Source organism: Homo sapiens, chromosome 12, assembly GCF_000001405.40.
Source record: "Homo sapiens chromosome 12, GRCh38.p14 Primary Assembly".
In the NCBI taxonomy this organism is placed as follows: domain Eukaryota; kingdom Metazoa; phylum Chordata; class Mammalia; order Primates; family Hominidae; genus Homo; species Homo sapiens.
The window spans coordinates 131,046,456-131,065,989 of record NC_000012.12 but is presented as its reverse complement, the minus strand read 5'-3'; the positions used below and the strand labels follow the sequence as shown (position 1 = coordinate 131,065,989).

General features: G+C 49.0%; 1 protein-coding gene across 16 annotated transcripts in view, besides 2 other annotated features; it reads right to left on the bottom strand.

The window, feature by feature from the left end:
• The window catches only part of ADGRD1 (adhesion G protein-coupled receptor D1), a 187,563-nt gene that overhangs the window by 75,480 nt on the left and 92,549 nt on the right, over nucleotides 1-19,534 (bottom strand). The window lies entirely within an intron of this gene.
• Nucleotides 8,301-8,470: a silencer, noted in NCBI's record as "fragment chr12:131542065-131542234 (GRCh37/hg19 assembly coordinates)". NCBI's record gives its function as "represses an EF-1alpha promoter that drives an FKBP-Casp9 reporter gene in an ReSE screen in phorbol 12-myristate 13-acetate-treated (for megakaryocytic differentiation) K562 erythroleukemia cells {active_cell/tissue: K562(+PMA)}" and the evidence as "EXISTENCE:reporter gene assay evidence [ECO:0000049][PMID:32094911]".
• Nucleotides 17,631-18,135: an enhancer, noted in NCBI's record as "H3K4me1 hESC enhancer chr12:131532400-131532904 (GRCh37/hg19 assembly coordinates)". NCBI's record gives its function as "activates a minimal SCP1, AML or CMV promoter by ChIP-STARR-seq in naive H9 embryonic stem cells {active_cell/tissue: H9 hESC(naive)}" and the evidence as "EXISTENCE:reporter gene assay evidence [ECO:0000049][PMID:30033119]".

Genomic DNA, 19,534 nt, shown 5'->3' with positions numbered 1-19,534 from the left:
CAGAAACTCCACAGGGACTGGGCAGCTCAAAAGGTCCCCAGCGTTCCTGAGAGGCCCAAAGACCAGGGCTGAGCCAGGTCTCTTCCTCCACCCCCGGAGAGGGCCCTAACCTGGGAGATGGGGGCTTCCAGCCAGGAGCAGAAATTCAGAGTCTGTGGTAAGCAAGTCACAACAACTTTTATCCTACCTTATGTGGGGAAGAGAGAGGCAAACCTCTCCCTCATCTACTGATAAAAATACCCCCTCTCCTTCATGCGCACAACTAACAACCGAGGAATCACACCTTTAAACACACCTGGCCTCTGGCAGGGGCCTTCCCTGCACTCTGACCCCCTCCCTCCCATCACAGACTCCAGCCTGGTCTCAAAAGGGACCCAGAGCCTGGGTGCCTCTCGCCTGAGATCCGTACAAGGGAAGCTGCCCAACCCAGGACAGATCCGTATCAGGAAACACAGACAGTGACAGGCAAGGGCCTGTCTCTGACGCCTCCTCCCACGGGACAGGGGTGACTCCGGTTCTGTCTCCAGAGGGAGTGGGGTCCTGGCACTGCATACCAGCCTTGGTCAGCGGCTCCAGCAGACAGAGCCGAGGGTCCACGCTGCTACAGCAGGGCCCGAGCGTTCTCATGATGGTTTGCTTTTCAGACAAGGTTCACTCTTGTTCAGAAATCAAACCTGGCAGGAGCAACACCAACAGGTGTGTTTTCACTCTGGTCAATCGCTTCCCAAGCCACCCTGTCACTCCGTTTTCTCTCACCTCTACTGAGCCACTCACCTGGTACAGAAAAAAATCAACCCTGAACCCCCGGCACCATTTAAGATTTGCAGAGCAGATGTTTATGGCATCAGTGTGGGGAATGGGATGGCCACGTGGCTTCTACAAGGACCAAGGAAAGATTTATTCGAAAAGGACTTCTGAGAGTGGAGAAGGGAGTAGAAGGTAAATACATACAAAGAGAGAGGAGAGGGAGAATCTGATGAATGAGGGCTGAGATAACAGCCTGCCTAGTGCTGCTCATCCTGTTCAGTAGGTCTGGCTCACTAGCTCAAGAGCTGGGCAGTTTGATGGAATTAATTTACACATCTATGCATCTAGGCAGGAACGCTCACCCAGACCAGTGTACCCAAAAGGAGCATCTCAGCACTTGAGGATTCACTGATTCCCAAAGAAAACTCTCCTTTCCCTTTGCTTTCTAAAACAACATATGAGAGTGGGGAAAACATTAAGGTTTCTCTGAATTAAGATAAACTCACTTGAGTAGCGAAAGGGTCTTTTCTATAGAAGATATGGGATCCTCAATTGAGTCATTTCCTCCATTTAGAAAATGTGCTCCTTAAAGAGACCAAGTGCCAACACTTTTCCTTACAGTGTTTCATAAATTATGTGCCCATATATTCACATGGCCCATGAAGCAAAAGATGATAGTATTCTCCTAATACACAGAATGAAGATTTAGAAAGAAAATGCACTATATAAATATAGCCCCAGTCTTCAATTGGAATGCTGTGGAATACAAGGCTGACTCAATACTTGAAAATTAGTGTAATTCACCATATTATCAGGCTAAAGAAGAAAAATCACATGATCATATCGAGGCAGAAAAACCAACAAAATCCAATATCTGTTCATGATTAGGACTCTCAAAAAACTAAGAATAAAGGGAAACTTCCTCAAATAACGGACACCTATAAAAAACCTAGAGCTAACTTATTAGTCGAAGACAGAATGGTTTCTTCCTAAGACAGGGAATAAGCAAAGATGTCTGGTCTCATTACTGTTGTTCAAATAGTACTGAGGATTCCAGCCAGCACAGAAAGGAAGAAAAAGCACACAGATCAAAAGGAAGAAGTGAAACTGTCCCTATCTGCAGATGGTATGAGCATTTATGTCAATAATTTCAAGGAATCCAGAAAGAAACTCCTACAATTATTAAGTGAGTTCATAGTCACTCAAAAAATGTACATTTAGGTGTAAATTTAACAAAACATGCATAGGACCTGTATGCCAAAAACTACAAAATACAGATGAAGAAAACCAAAGAAGATTTTAAATAAATGGAGAGATACGCCATGTTAATGGATTGGAAGACTCAACACAATAAAGATATAAATTCTCCCAAAATTAATATACAGTCTTAATGTAATTCCTAGTCATCCCAGCAAGAATTTTTGTAGACACAGAAAATCTTACTCTAAAGTTCATCTTTAAAGGCAAAGGAACTAGAAAAGCTAAAACAATTTCGTAAAAGAAGAATAACGTGATATGAATCATGTGCTCAAGCTGATTTCACTCTACCTGATTTCAAGACCTACTACACAGCTACAGTAATCAAGACTGTGTGGGACTGGCACAGGGACAGGCAATTAGATCAATGAGACAGAGCCGAGAACCTGGGAACAGCCCCACACAAGTACAGCCAACTGATTTTTGGCAAAGAAACAACAGCAATTCAATGAAGGAAGGAGAGTTTTTTTCCCCCTCAACAAATAGTGCTGAAACAGCACCTCATACAAAAAAATTAATTCAAAATGGACCATAGATTAAATGTAAAAAATAAAACCATAACACTTTTAGATAAAAACAAAGGAGAAAATCTTTGGGACCAAGAGTTTGATGAAAAGTTCTTAGTGATGACACCAAAAATATGATCCACAGAATTAGAAAATCAATAAATTGGACTTTACAAAATTTAGAAGCTTCAGCTTTGTGAAAAACTCTTGTTAAAAGGATAAAAAGATAAGCTGCAGACAAGGAGAAAATATTTACAAACCATGTAGCTGACACAGGATTCATATCTATAATAATCCAGATCCATAACTCATATCTATCTATAATATCTATAGATTCTATCTGTAATTCATATCTATAAAATAGAAAGAATTCTTAAAATTCAATGATAAAACACAAAAAGAATCCAATTAGAAAATGGGCAAAAGATACTAAGAGACATTTTATTGACGAGAATATCCAGATGACAAGTAAGCACAAGAAAAAATTTTCAACATCACTCATCATTGGGAAAATTCAAATTAAGACCATGATGAGAACAACTAAAATAAAAAATAGTAACTATACCAAATGCTGTCAAAGAAACTAAATCACTCATACATTGCTCATGGAAATGTAAAAAGGTACAGACACTCTGGAAAATAGTTTGGAAGATTTTTTTTTAATATTAAATATATTTACCACGTGACCCTTGTATTAGTTCATTTTCACCTTGCTAATAAAGACATATCCGAGACTGCATAATTTATAAAGGAAAGAGGTTTAATGGACTCACAGTTCCACATGGCTAGGGTGACCTAATGAGGAGCAAAGTCCGGTCTTACATGGCGGCAGGTAAGAGAGAGCTTTCGCAGGGCAACTCCCCTTTATAAAACCATCAGATCTCAAGAGACGTATTCACTACCATGAGAACAGTATGGGGGAAAGTGCTCCCGTGATTTAATTATCACCATCTGGCCCCCCCTTTGATATGTGGGGATTAGTTCAAGGTGAGATTTGGGTGAGGACACAGTCAAACCATATCAGCCCTGTAATAGTACTCCTGGGCATTTGTCTCACAGAAACGTAAACTTATGTCCACACAAAATGCCGTCCACAATTGTTCACAGCAGCTTTATTAGTAATAGTCAGAAGCTGGAAACAACCAAAACATCCTTCAGTGGGCAAATGGTCAAACAAATTGTGGTTTGGTCAGGCGCGGTGGCTCACGCCTATAATCCCAGCACTTTGGGAGGCCAAGGCAAGCGGATCACAAGGTCAGGAGTTCAAGACCAGCCTGGCCAACAGTGAAACCCCGTCTCTACCAAAAATACAAAAATGAGCCGGGCTTGGGAGGCTGAGGCAGGAGAATCGCTTGAATCTGGGAGGCGGAGGTTGCAGTGAGCTGAAATTGCACCACCTCACTCCAGCCTGGGCCACAGAGTGAGACTCCATCTCAAAAAAAAAAAACAAAAAACAAACAAACAAAAAAATCAAACTGTGGTTCCTCCATTCCATGAAATACCACACTAAGCAATGAAAAAGTATAAACAACTGACCTATACAACCATGGGCATTATGCTGAGTGGCAAAGTCCATCTCAAAAGGTCACTTACTGTATGATTCTATTTACAGACCACTGTCATAATGACAAAATCATAAATACAGAGAACAGAACACTGGTTGCCAGGAGTTAGGGATGGTAGAAGGAAGGCAGGATAGCAACGAGGAGATCTGCTGGCTGGTAAAACGGCCTGTATCTTCATTTCAGTGGTGATTCCATGAATTTACACCTGTGTTAAACTAACAGAACTATATACATACATAGCACTGATGTTAGTTTCCTGGTTTGACATTGCGCTGTATTTCTCTCATTTGTAATCACTGGGGGAAACTGGATGAAGGGTGCACAGGACTTCTTTGTAATTATTTTTGCAACTTCCTGTGAATCTATCATTATTCCAAAATAGAAGTTTAAAAAAACAGTTAAATCAACATCAGATCAACTATAAATGAGTCAAGATTTCTAGCTGGGGGAAACACAAGCGTGGGCAGGCGAGAAGAGGATCCTACTATTAAGCCAGAGGCTTGAATATTTACGTCTCATTTTGATTTGCTGAGTTCTGCACAGGAACAGGGAAGTCAGTGGTAAGCCTGTGACGGGGACGGCAGGTGACAGCTGGCTACTGATCCCAAGAGGACCCATGACTAACGTTCTCACGAAGCCAGGTCAGATGGGTTGTGGTCCCTCCTCCCCTGCCTTCAAGGCATACTCCCAGCCTGAGTCACTGGGGGTGGGAACACAGGGACTTTTGGGGGCCATAGGCATCACCTTGAGAGGCTGGGCGGGGCTCCTGACTGCAGGTCCTGATGTTATAAGCCTCATTATACTTATACCGCTGACCTGCAGGATTTGTTCTGAGGCCTGCAGTGGGGGCTGGGGGAGGGAGAATATGACGCCCTGCATGATCCTGAGCTCATTCACAGGGATGAGTCTCACGGGTGTCCAGGTCTGAACAGTGTTACGTAAAATGCACCCCAGGAGGAGGGACCTTCAGGACTCTGTCCACTCTGTTCTCCATCCAGGTAACATGGGCGGGGTGGACTGAGCCCCTGGGAGGCCAGAATTACCACAGCCCATGAGCTTGGCCCAAGGGTCAAGGAGAAGAAGGGTTGCCTGAGAATCCAGGCAATGGGATCTCCAGGCAGTGAGATCATAAGTGATTTTACATTCCGCATCCCAAAGTTTTTGATCAAAAGAATCCAGGGGTAGCTACTGATACGTGAGGGAAGATGGAAGACACAGAACCATCAGGTGTCACAGGCAGGGGTAACTGACTCTGATGTTGTTGGACAAAGAGTAAGAATCAGAATCCAACTCCTCTGGTTTAGTGGTACGGCTGCTGATGCCCCTGGAGAGGCTGCTGGTGTCCGTAAGGCCCCCTTGGCCACGGCCTCTGTCACCCAGGACTGACTTGGCCAGTCTCTGCATGGTGTGACCCAGCCAGCAGTTAACAGCCAGCATCGCTCTGACACAGCATTGTCCATGCTGCTGGGTCTTTTGAACATGACCCCTGCTGTCGCTGCCTGCGTGGATTATTTGCCTCCTGAGCTATTTGATCTGATATGTCCAGTAACCACAGAGGACCAGGAAAGGGGCCACCTAGACAGGCAGTAATTAGCTACTCCAAATACCACGGGAGAAAGTGTGGCCCCACCCAGCCTCTATGAGCAAAGGCTGAGTGGGTATCAGGGCTGTGGCGGATGCCCCGAGCATCCCCAGGGAGGTGGCACTGGAGAAGACCGAGTGTGAAGCCATGGGGAGAAGCAATGCGGGGCATCAGCAGAGCCCTGGGGGAACCCAGTAGCCATGCGGCACCCAGCCCTCACCAGGACTCCAAGGGACACAGAGCAGGCACTCGGACTTTCACCCCCACGCCGCAGTACTGCGGCACATGGCCCTTCCCAGTGGTGGGTATCAGAGAAGGACTGCTAAAACAGATTTAAATAAGATCCAGAGTGTCATAACATAATAACCAAAGTGTCCAGGATGCAACTGAAAATCATTTGTCATACCGAGAACCGGAAAAATCTCAACTTGAATGAGAAAAGAAAAACAACAGACATCAACACCAAATGATGCAGACAGTGAAATTAACTGACAAGGATTTTTAAAACAGCCATCATAAAAATGCTTCCATAGTTACAGACACTCTTGAAACAAATGAAAAAGAGTCTCAGCAAAGAATTAGAAGTGCTTCCAATTTTGGACTTTTTCAGATTTTGACATTTCTGCATTATATGTACCCGGCTGAGCATGCCTAAGCTGAAAATCCAAAATCTAAAGTGCTCCAGTGAGCAGTTCCTTTGAGCGTCATGTCAGCGCTCAGCAGATTTGGAGTTTTGAAGCATTTCAGATTTCAGATTTTCAGATTAGGGATCCTCAACCTGTATAAAGGAAAACCAAATGGAAAATTTAGAAGTGAAAAATAGAATAACTGAAATCAAAATCTCAATGGATGGGCTGGGCGTGGTGGCTAACGTCTGTAATCCCAGCAATTTGGGAGGCCGAGGGGGGCAGATCACTTAAGGTCAAGAGTTCAAGACCAGCCTGGCCAACATGGTGAAACCCCATCTCTACTAAAAATACAAAAAAATTAGCTGGGCATGGTGTCTATTAGCACACCTGTAGTCCCAGCTACTCAGGAGGCTGAGGCACGAGAATCACTTGAACCTGGGGGGCTGGCTGCAGTGAGCCAGGATGGCGTCACTATACTCCAGCCTGGGTGACGGAGTGAGACTCTGTCTCAAAAAAAGAAAACAAAACACCTCAATGGATGGCTCAACAGCAAAAATAAAAATAGAGAGGACAGAGGAAAGAGTAGTGGACAGAAGGATAATTTGAAGAAAAACAACATAAATTACCCAATCAGAACAACAGAGATAAAATAGATTTTAAACAATTAACAGAGCCTTGAGGACCCGTGGGACAACAACGAAAGATATAATATCCGTGTCACTGCAGCCCCATAAAGAGAAGAGAAAGGGAGTGGGGTTGGAAAAACAGTCCAATGGCCAAAATTTCTTAAATTTGGCAAAACATATAAACACACAGATTCAAGCAGCTGAGCAAACTCAAACCGGAAAACCTGAACAAATCACTGCCAGACACATTATAGTCAGACTTCTGAAAACCAAAGACAAAGAAAACAAATTGTTGAAAGCAGGGAGAGAGAAAGGACATCTCACCTACAAGGCCAGACAATTAGAATAGCGTGGATTTCCCATCAGAAACTGCTGAGGATGGAAGGGAGCGGCCTCTCTCAAGAGCTGGAGGAAATGAACTGTGCACCCTGAGTTCTATGTCCAGCGAAAATACCCTTGAGGGATGAAGAAGAAACAAGAACGTTCTCAAAGGAAAACAGAGAATTTGATGCCAACAGGCCGGACATAAAAAATGTCTAAAGTACATTTCTGGAAATGGAAAGGAAATGATAAAAGAAGGAATCTTGAAACATCAGGTATGAAGAAAGATCAGTGGAAAATAAAAATATGGTCCCAGCCTGCAAATGTGTACGGTGGTACCTTGCTCAGCAACTCAAACCCAGCACATTCCAAACAGATCACTGAAAGGGCATGGAGGTTTCTGTTAGGCCAAGCAGCCGACCCGCCCTGGGTCACATCCTCTTGAGGAGCTCCACTGACCCAGGACGCTCACGACGCTTCCCTAGAATCCAGCAAGCAACAGACACAGCTACTGAAAATGTGTTCTGTAGGATCTGGAATCTGAGCCCTCTGGAGGGATGCTATGAAATAAAAAACCCAGACTCTGCCATCAAAGAACTTCTAGTCTCATGGGGAGGGCAAGGCCAGAATCCATGAAAAAAATATTGTCAGAAATGAAAAGCACAAAAGAGTAACCTCTGAAACCCCTCTTGCTCTAAACTTCTGGATCTAGGAAGTTGCTGTCTGCTTCTCTTAATACTTATTTCCCAATAAAGTTACAAAGGTTAAAATAACAGAAGCTCATTCTCCCTGGTGCATAGACAAGGAAAAACATGAACAAGAAAGAAGCGAGATGAGCACGAAGACGGCTGCGGTCAGTCCTGCAGGAAAGCACATGGGGTCCTTGACTAGGGAGGTACCAGTGAAGGCAGAGACATGCAGACCCATTTTCTGCCTCATCCCAGCTCCACCTGTGTTGTGGGTTGAACGGTTTCCCCACAAAATTCATGTCTCCCCAGAACCCTCAGAATGTGACCCTATTTGGAAATGGGGTCCTTGCAGATGTCATTAATGTAACGTTGAAGATGAGACTGTGCTAGATGGGGACGAGCCCTCAGTCCCATCTGAGTGTCCTCGTACACTGCGGGAAAGGACAATGACACACGGAAGAGGAGGCCGTGGGGAGACGGGGCAGAGACTGGAGTTGGCTGCCGCAGGCCAGGACTACTAGGAGACAGGCAGGGGTGGACGTTCCCGCTGAGCCTCCAGAACGAACTAGCTCTGCCAACGCCTTTGTCTCAGACTCGTGGACTCAAGAGCTGCAGGAGAACGGCTTTCTGCTGTTTAAAGCCACTAGCCATTTGTCACGGTGGCCCTAGGAAACGGCCACAGCAGCGCAGACTCGGCTCCGCTGCCATCTGGCCCCTTTTCTCCACCGTTCCCCTTCCAAGCATTCTCTGGTCCGCGGCGTGTCTCAACACATTAGGAACCACTGATGCCATCCAACCCAGCTTCAGGGGTGAAGCACAGAGCTTCTCTCAAACACCAGCAGGCGCTCGCCAGGCAGCGTTCCGTGCAGTTCTTCAAACCTGTTTATCACAGCGGGGGTAGCCTGTGATTATTTCCTGCAACAATTTCCTCCACTTCAAAAATTACACCCAAGTCGTTGCCACAAAATCATCTCTCTAAATTTTATCCCGTTACTCTAATCATTGTGGACAATGCTACCATAATTAGTAATTATCCTCCCCCTCCTTCCCAGCATCCTAAATCTCATCTATTTGTCGAATGTCAACACACGTGAGTCCAAGACCCACGGCACAATCAACGCCTCCACAACTGGCTCCTGGGACATGGGTGTCTTCAGTTCTCCCCAGGGACATGGCTTCCTTCGTCGTCCTAGGGCCCTGGAAGCTGTATTAACACCTGCTTGCATCCAGAAGCGTGTGCTTTGTTTTCTCTTTCCAACACAAGGATCTCTTGTGTGGTCCACGCTAGAACCAGGGGAAGTGATTATCCCCACGGGGTCTTCCGCCCTGTGTCAGGTTCCATGGTCCACCCACATCAAAGGTGCTGGCTCTGCCTCTAGGTCTCTTTCCAGACTATTTTTCTTCTCAGATGCCTCTTGCTCATGGAATATTCATGTTATAAATTATTTTTCTCCAGACACTTGGTTAGAATTTTGCCAAGTTCTCCACAACTTCATGTTAATGTTATCGGTGCTGTGATATAGCACAGTATCAGAGGAAGAAAAGAGAAGCCTAGCTTAAAATACAGCCTCAGCAATGATGGGCTCCATGTTTCCCAGAGGAACCCTCCACCTTGGCCTCTTGTCCCCGAATTTTGACAGAGTCAGGGCCCCAGTGTGGCTAGACCTGAGCTTTAGGAGAACATTCTTTATAAAGATCAAAAGAATGGGCAGTGGTCCTTGCATTGATCATTCTCACTGGTTCCTGTTTCCAATGCCGCAACTTGGGATTTTCCCCTATAGCCGGCAAACTTTCCTCCTGGATTGTAAACTAAAGTACAACCTCTAATGTGTGTCTGAAAAAGCGTTTACGATCAGAACAAGTTAACACTGCCTCTATGCATATCAGTGATCCTCAACCAAGAGGAAAAAAATAATATTTTCATAACACAATCTACAAAACAGGACTCTCAATATATTCCTTCAGGGTAGAAGATTTCAGATGATGGGAAAATTTCCATCATAGGTTTGCCCCCAGGGGACCATATCAGGAGCTCCCAGGGGTGTAATCCTCACTCCTGTGAAAATAATGGTGTGGGTTTCAAAGTTTGTAAAATTCTGATCTATTTTACAGCCTAGCTCTGTGGCTGTTAATAATAACCGGTCATGTTTGTGGTCTTGAGCCCTCTGATATGCCACATCAAAAATGATGTTATTTTCCATGAAAGATGAGTGGTTTTACTTAGAAAAGAATGGGGGAATCTGACAGCCCACAGTTTGCTTCTAGAACCGTCTAAGGAGAGATATGCTCTGTGAAGCTCTGTGGCTGTCCCCAGAGTCTGTGCTCGTTCATATTTCTGTTCGTCTGCTTTGTCTCACAGTTTCCCTTGTTTGCTATGCTACTTTGTAAGTTCACAAATGAAACAGTTTAAACCAGGTTTTCCCAGGCCTGGAGCACACAAACGCACAAGAACTCTGAAGTCAACAACATAGAAAGCCTTCCCCTTGAAATTCTCCCCCACATATTAAAGGATAACTTTTAACAAGGTAAATCGTGACTCTCATACAGAGATAAAATGAACACACATCAAAGATATTATTTAACGTGTTAATGGGCAAGGGAACCTGTGAGATGTGACCGTCACTTCAAAGGGAAATTCAAAGAACCATATGTACATGAGCCCATCCCGAACGCTGAAGTCAGTGTGCTTAATAGACACAAAACTGGCAGAACTTGATGTCCAGGGAGAAGAATCAACTGAATCAACCAGACGAGACCTACATGTCAATGGCCAAGGATCACGTGAATCCGTGGGCACCCTGTCACTCACAGGGTTGTGAGGTGGCTCAGGGACATGGTAGGGAGCACAGACTCCCGAGAATCAGGTAACCCAGATAACACCCACTTCCCATGAAACGCATTCAGCAATCTTTTTGGTCTATTTCAAAATCTTCCATAATTTTTCCCTCCACAAATTAAGCGTATTTCTTAAAATCTAACTTTCCAAACTAAAAAGATATGGCCAAGTTCAAAACTTAAATAAAATTTCCATGCACCAGAAACAGGATAGAAACATAAAGTAACAAGCTCAGTCGAGACTTGTGCCCAAGACAGTGTAACAAGACCGGACTCACCGCCCGTTGGCACCAACTGAAACCTAAGGTGAGTTTGTGAATTTGTGCCTTTCACAGCACTGGACATCCATCAGGCAATGAAGGGGAGGGGTGCATGAGGGACAGGAAACAGCGCAGAAGCGAGCTCTATAACTGCCCCGGAGCTCAGCCTTGAGACAGTTCCCAGACGCTGCAGCAGCGAGGGGAACCTAGGCAAGACCCGGCAGAGACCCTGGTGCTCAGATATCCAAGACCAGTGACCGGAGAGGAGAGAGCTGCATGGAGTGGAGGGCCCCTCGAGTTCTCAGCGCAGCAGAGACTGGCACATGCAGGAAGGAAGCGCCCAGAACAGGGAAAGAACCACCCAATGGATTACAGGGAACCGAACTGGAGCTCACACAGGGCCAGGAATAGCCTGAGTCCACACCTGCCGGCCTGGAAACCTTGGAACTTCTAGGGCACTGGGTGGAGCGCACAGAAGGGTCTTGGCTCGCTAGTCCAGTAAGCAAAACTGGACTTAGCTTGACACTAATGGCTTAGCAAAACAATAATGCTGAGTGGAAAACGCCAGGCCAGAAAAGAGTACATACTATACAATTCCATCATACAAAAGTTCTAGAAAATGCAGATTAATCTATGGCGAAAGAACAAGTATTAGCGGTTGCCTTGGGACAGGGGAGGGAGGTGGGAAGGAACAGGGAGGGGACAGGGATTACAAAGGGGACCCAGGGAACTTTCGGGGTGACACACACGTTCATCGTCTTCACCATGGTGATGGTTTTATGGGTAAATGCTTTGAACACTTTACACATGTGCATTTATTTTTTTGCCAGTTACACCTCAGTAAGTGTGTTTTTGTTTTTTTTATTGTTTGTAACTGTGCAGGTGAAGCAGCTCTAGGCCTGGGGACTCTGATACAGGTTTGGGTTCTTGTGGTGAGGGGTTAAAACCCAAGGTGAGGGGAAGCAGAAACTGGGAGGGAGACAGTAAATGGGACGGGCTATAACCAGGTGAGAGATGCTCACACTCACAGGTAATCAGGGAAATGCAAATTACATCTTCAGTGAGATCCTGTTTCACACCAGTGAGGGTGGCAAGACTTTACGTCTACTACACTGGTGGGCTATCGGTGCTGCTCTGGACAGAAATTTGGCAAAAATCAGCAAAACTGAAGTGTTTCTCACCATGTGACCCCATTCCCAAGCACACCCCCTAAGTAAACGACATGAATAACCATCAGTAGAGTAACGGCTGAGTCAGTGGTGGGGTTGTCGCAGCACACTACCGCCCTCCCACTTTGGATGTTTGTCTTTGGGTTTACTTTCTTGAGATTTATCCATGTTGATTAGCACCATTCTGGTTCATTGACTTTGACTGATGTTATGGAAAGTCTAAAATTCTTAAAAACAGCCCTGTTTATGGGGTTACTGTGGGGTGATGGCCGATTACTTCTGAAATGATCACCTGTCATTCTCAGGCCACAAAAATCATGTCAGGTCCTCTCTAAATCACTATGTTTGCTTCTACAGAAAACCCTTTACTTAAAAGATACACATTTTCCTGATTTAGCAGAGCACTTCAGCAGAATTAAGCAGCCTTGATCGAATGAAGACGGGTTTCCAAGAAAATAAAACATTGACAACATGCCACAGCACATGCACGTGAAGAAAGCAGGGTGCAAATGTTCACAGCACAGGAACGGGGCAGGGAAGTGGAAGCAGACAGCAGAGGGCCCAGGCCATCACCAGCCTGCACTCCGTCATCACAGTGACTCTGTGGGCACTGTCAGAGAAAGAGCTACCAGAAGGACTGTAAATTATGCTTTAGAAACCAGCATGCCACCAGGAGTGACTTGGGAGGTCCCAGTGCCCCGATCTGACCGAGAAAGGCCCAGGCCTGTGCAGAAAGGATCATTTGGCCCCACTGTATGGCAGAGGGAGCTCATGTTTTCTGGATCAGGCAGAAAAACAGCCATGGACATATTCTGTGCTATAAACTGGGGCTGAGGTGCCTTGGGACCCAGCTCTTGAATGCACCTGGCAGACAGTGTCGTGTTCTCCACAAGCAGAGATGTGGGACTGGCTGGCCTTCAGCAGGTCTAGTGGCAGATGCTCCCACCTGCCCTCTCCAGGGTCCTCACCCCTCCAGAGCTACCTACGGCTCCTCAGGGGCTCATGAAACCACAGCATCCTCTTGGAGTCAATGCCATGAGGCCAACAGGAAGAAATGGAGTCCTAGAGGTGGGTTGTTTTGGCTACTCAGAAGCTACTCACACTTCTGTCCATTTAACCCTAATTTAATTTCACTCTAGTGAGCCTCTCATTCCTCCCCCACAAAGACCACTCCCCATTCCCTAGGTCTAAGCCAATCCGTGCATTTTATGCCCCCCCGACTGCTCCTGAATAAAGCAGACCGTGCCAGCCCTGGCGGAGGCAGATGCCTGGTTGCAGACCTCCAGGAGAGCCCTGGAAGCACCTTTTAATTCCTCAGTGAATGTGAAGCAAGAGCCCTCAGGAAGAACAGAGCTCTTGCCCTGAATGTTCCAGCTATAGAAGAAGAGCTCGCTTTGGGGACTGAGTTCGGGAACAGGTGAGAAGACGAGAAGTGATGGTGATGTGGGCACAAGGTCGGAGTGAAACAGCAGGAAGCCAGCAGGTGCCCACCCACGCCAGCCTCAGGACACGGCCCTGACCAGGGTGGGACTCGGTGCAGGGGTTCTCATCTCAGAGAAAATGAGCCCCGGGAGTGGCTCGCACAGCCCAGTGTTCCCAGGCAGAGCTTTTCCAATTTGTGGAGCAGCAGCAGCCTCCCCTTAGCTCGGCTCCTGCAAGCCCTTCTCTCCAGGACAACCTTCTTGGGGTAATAAAGGAGGGTCCCGTGCAGGCCCCAGGAGGAGCTGGAAGTTTTCAGATCAGAGCTCACCATGCAGGGTTATGAAAGATGTGATTTCTGAAGCAGGAGGAGGAGATCTCAACATAAGCCATTTAATTAAGAAACACAGAGCAGGGAGATGCGAGTTTGGAAACATCCTTTGAAGCAAACTTGATCCTCTCCATATGTATGTTTCAATTCATATTCAATTCAATTCAATTCAATTCTCCACCACTCTGGAAACAGAATGTTTTCTCCTTCTTTAAATAATTGCCTACTGGTAGAGAAATGCTAAGAAAGTGTTAGGAAAACAGCTATCGCCTGGGCGCGGTAGCTCACACCTGAAATCCCAGCACTTTGGGAGGCCAAGGCAGGTGGACTGCCTGAGGTCAGGAGTTTGAGACCAGCCTGGTCAACATGGTAAAACCCCGCCTCTACTAAATATGCAAAAAAATTCGCCTGGCGTGGTGGCGGGCACCTGTAATCCCAGCTACTCAGGAGGCTGAAGGACGAGAATAGCTTGAACCTGGGAGATGGAGGTTGCAGTGAGCCAAGATATCGCCACTGCCCTCCAGCCTGGGCAACAGAGTGAGACTTTGGCTCCAAAAAAAAAAAAAAGAAAAGAAAGAAAGAAAGAAAACAGATATCCACTGCTCTCTCAAGGATCTTCTCCTCCAGAACATTATATGTTGTTCCTGAGATTCCCAATTTGTTTAAACAGGAATTTTGATGGAAAATTACCATTTGAATACAAACACCCAAGTTCTGTTTCAAATCAAACAGCAGAAAAGAAGGAAAATGAAGCAGGCCATTGGCTATTGTTGATGTCAATCAAAAGAAACAAGGAATCGTTCCTGGGGCAGCATAATCCTGAACTTCCCACAAGCACGAGCACCCCGGGACATGGGCGAGACTTTGTGCATCTTCCTCCCCCAGCTGGGCAGGACAGTGCCCGTCTGAGGCAGGACGTGGTTCAGATCTGTGTCCCCACCAAATCTCATGTTGAACTATAATCCCCAGTGTTGCAGGCGGGGCCTGCTGGGAGGTGACTGGATCATGCGGGCGGTGTTCTCATGAATGGTTTAACACAGGGGTTCCCAACACCCGGGCCGTGAACCGGGACCAGCCCGTGGCCTGTTAGGAACCGGGCACACAGCACACAGAGCGGTGGGCAAGCAGGCATTCCCACCTGAGCTCCCCTCCTATCAGATCAGCCGGGCGTTTGATTCTCATAGGAATGCAAACCGACCGTGAACTCTGCTTGTGAGGTATCTAGGTTTCAAGCTCCTCATGAGAGTCTAGTGCCTGATGATCTGAGGGGGAACAGTTTCATCCCGAATCCATCCCCCACCCCATCCGTGCAAAAATTGTCTTCCACGAAACCAGTCCCTGGTGCCAAAATGTCTGGGGACCGCTGGCTTAACACCATCCCTCTTGGCACTGTCCCCACGATCATGCGTTCTCGTGGATCTGGTCGCTTAAAAGTGTGTGGCACCCCCCACCTCTCTTGATCTGCCCATGTAAGACGTGCCTGGTTCCCTCCACCTTCTGCCATGACTGTAGCTCCCGGAGGCCTTCCCAGAAGCTGAGCAGAGGTCAGCACCATGCTTCCTGTTCCCCCTGCAGAACCGTGAGGCAATTAAACCTCTTTTTTTAAAATAAATTACCCAGCCTCAGGTATTTCTTATAGCAATGAACAGACTAACACACAGGGCAACACACGAGTGGCTCGTGATCTTGGGAAATTTGGGCTAGAAAAACACAAGTCAAATTTTAGTTCCAGCAACTCCAGAGTACTTGGCCTGCCCAACTAACAGCACTTCCTGGCTATGAATAGCACCGGATGTCCTGACTGAGAATCTCATTGATGATGATGATGATGATGACGATGACGATGGTGATTTCAACTTGAGACAGGAAAATGTGTTATGTAACAGGCCACCAAGAGGCGATGAGGTTTGTGCTGGCCCAGGAGGACACACTGAATTCCCAGCTTCCTGCACGCATTCCTGGACCCCCGTGTATCCAATCTATGTGCCAAGCACTATGCAAGAGAAGCATTCGTGCCCAGTTTCCCAGGTAGAGGGCCAAGCCCAGGCAGAGGACTCTTCCTGGACCACCAGGGTGACATCTGCAAGCCACAAACAACTGTCCTGCTTGTCCAGGTTTTAGATGCTCGGTTCCCATCTTTTCCTGCTGTGTCTCCCCCGACGCCCTCTCCAGCCAGAGACCTTGACTGGGAGTGGCTCCGAGTCCCCCACGGACCCCACTCACAGGCACAGCTGGTCCTGCTGGACGGCTGGGCCCATGCTCTCCCCCGCTCCAGGAAAGCCATTCCTAAAGGCAGCCCCACTGCCCGGCCCCAAACCTGCCCTCACTCTGCAGCCTACACGGCCGCCCCTGCTCGCACCCCAGACGGCAGCACACACTTGAAAGCACATGGTTATGATCCTGTGGGGCAGCCAGGGAGGCCGGCAATCCCATTAACCAGTGCTCGCCAGGAGACAAGTCATGAGGTCACTGCTGATCTACAAGGTCACTCTGGGTGGTGCACGGATGAGCACTTTATTTCAGTGACATGTGCATTCTAAGGCATATTAGGAAGTGACATAGTCAACACTCTGTGTCCAGAATCTCTGGCTATAATGGCTTAGAGTGAGGGAAAAGTAGGCATGGAGATCGAAAAGACGTTTCTCCACATCGAGTGGAGGAAGTGCATGGGGCATGAGTGTGCAGGAGGCACACAGGTGGGGCGGGAGTGAGAGGAGCAGAGGACGGGTATCAGGGCCATGCCTGACAGCGCAGGGCTCACAACCTGCCCCCCAAGGCCAGGTCCCACCATATGTGCGGCATGCAGCCCTTGTGCCAGCCCTGGGCTCAGACAGTATCCAAGGCCCCGCCTGATAAGGCAGGAAGCTGAGACCAGAGACCCCAGGGACTCGGTCACAGTCACACAGCTAATCCACAAAGGAGCAGGCACCTGAGCCTGAGGGTCCAGCTCCAGAGTGCTCGTGACGTACAGCATATGAAGTATCATCCGCTTTTCCAAACTCCCTTCCTCGGCCTTTGGCCTCGCCCTCTCTCCCATCCCTTAAAACCCATTCTCACCCTCTCTCTCTCTCTCCCATCCCTTAAAACCCATTCTCCTTGTGCTTCCTTTCTTTCTTCCTTCTCAGACCCCTCCTCTTGCCCTGAGTGTCAGGAAGCTAAGCAGGCTTCTTCCCCACCAGCTGGAGGCCCTTTCCCTGCACAGTCTCGGAGAGGGGAGACAGCAGGCCCTGCCGCCCAGCCCTTCAGGAGGGACCTGGCTCCTGGAATGTGGGTGTAGCCCCGTGGTGCACAGGAGGGCCACGCCAGCATCTGAAAATTATCCCTGCCCTGCCCACAAATGAAGACTGGTTTCTCAGAACACAAGAGTATTTCTGTGAACTATAAAAAGCTACTGGATCGACAACCTATTATCATTGTGGAAGAAATTACTGATCTGCACGTCAGCTGGGAGGGTGCCTGGCTGGGCCGTCCGCCCCGCAAATCCATGGAGCCCCGGATCACCAGAGACTCCCTCGGTGGCCACGCCCCACATGCACACACCCATCTCAGCGCTTCCCGTAGGCTGTGGGCTCAAACCCGGGAAAGATGGGCAGGCCCCTCTGCACATCTGGGCCGCCCCACAGCTGTAGCAGCGGGGGTGCAGGAAGACACCCGAGGATGGGCGGCTGCTTCCAGCTCTCCACGACAGACATAGGTGCACTCCTGGCCAGCTGCAGGATGTGTGAAAGGAAACGTGCTCCCTGGGGAGTGCGAGACTCACAGATGGTGCGGGGCTGCCCACCCACCGTGCCGTCCGCTGCTGGATTCACAGTGTCAGAAGCACTGCTGGCCCCGGCTGACCCTGCGCCCTCAGCCTTCCACTCAGCACACTGTGTGCATAAGCCCCAGTGCTGGGGCAGGGCCAGAGAGAGCTCTGTGACCGACAAGCATCTGCTCTCCCTGTTTCAGGGTTGAAGGGCCTTTGACCACCAGCAAGTCCAGCTGGTGAGAGGTCAAGAGCACATGTGAAGCCCCCAACCCCCTTCAGGGGAGCCGACACTCTGCCTCTGCCACCCCCATCTCACCCCTGTGACATGGGATGTGGAGATGACTGGCAGAGCCCCATCCTGGGCTTGGAGGAGAAGGGGCTGAAAGTGGGGGCCAGGTCCACAGGGCCTGGTTCTGCAAGTATCAGATGTTCATCTCAGACCCTTACTTGAGGGAGAAGCAGGCCATCAGCAGGGCTGTCATTCTTTGGGGGTGGCTGTTGGTGATGATGTCTTTACGCTGAGCCAAGCCTCCTCCCACTGACCCACGTCTTCCAAGAAATGCTGAGGTGGGGAATTTATGGCTTCACCCAACCCCCAGAGCCACGCACAGTCGTGACGTCCCTGGCACTGACAATGGCTGGCTAACTCTTGTCTGGAACGGTCACAGCCATGGAGGAGAGTCCCAGCCCCAGCCCGGCAGAGGAAGTGTCCCCACGTGAGCTCACAGGGCGGTGCAACTGTCCTCACATTGCACATTATGTCACTGCCTCTATGGCTCCTCTCACCAGGCTGCTGACCTGACTCTGTATCTGCCCCTCTCCTCCCGACAGGGGGCTCCCTGGATGGCTGCGGAAGGGGTGCAAAAGGGGGCCCGGGGCTGCCTGCTCCTGGAATGCTCCCACCCATCTGCCCTTCAGAGCTGTCCCCCCATTGTCCAGGCTCCAGGTGCGGAGGACACCGGAGCAGTCTCCAAACCACAATGTCTCCTCGCCGTGGATCACCTGACTCCCCTCCTCCAGGCCAGCACACAAGGACAGAGACTGGCCACACCCAGGGCTGGAGATCTTCACAGGACTCGCCCCTGCCCTCAATGGGCTCCGTCCTCCCTGCCTTAGAGACAAACCAGGGAAGACACTGACCAGGAAAGGAACACTGATTAGGGGGGACACTGACCAGGGAGGCCACTGACTAAAGAGGGAGCAGTGACCAGGGAGGGAGCACTGACCAGGGAGGAGCATTGACGAGGGAGGACACTGACCAGGGAGGACACTGACTAGAGAGGGAGCACTCACCAGGGAGGACACTGACCAGGGAGGGAGCGCTGACCAGGGAGGGAGCATTGACCAGGGAGGACACTGACCAGGGAGGGAGCACTCACCAGGGAGGACACTGGCCAGGGAGGGAGCATTGACCAGGGAGGGAGCACTGACCAGGGAGGACACTGACCAGGGAGGACACTGACCAGGGAGGGAGCACTCACCAGGGAGGACACTGCCCAGGGAGGACACTGACCAGGGAGGACACTGACCAGGGAGGGAGCACTGACCAGGGAGGACACTGCCCAGGGAGGGGGCACTGACCAGGGAGGGAGCACTCACCAGGGAGGACACTGCCCAGGGAGGGGGCACTGACCAGGGAGGACACTGACCAGGGAGGGAGCACTGACCAGGGAGGACACTGCCCAGGGAGGGGGCACTGACCAGGGAGGACACTGACCAGGGAGGGAGCACTCACCAGGGAGGACACTGGCCAGGGAGGGGGCACTGATCAGGGAGGGAGCATTGACCAGGGAGGGGGCACTGACCAGGGAGGACACTGACCAGGGAGGGAGCGCTGACCAGGGAGGACA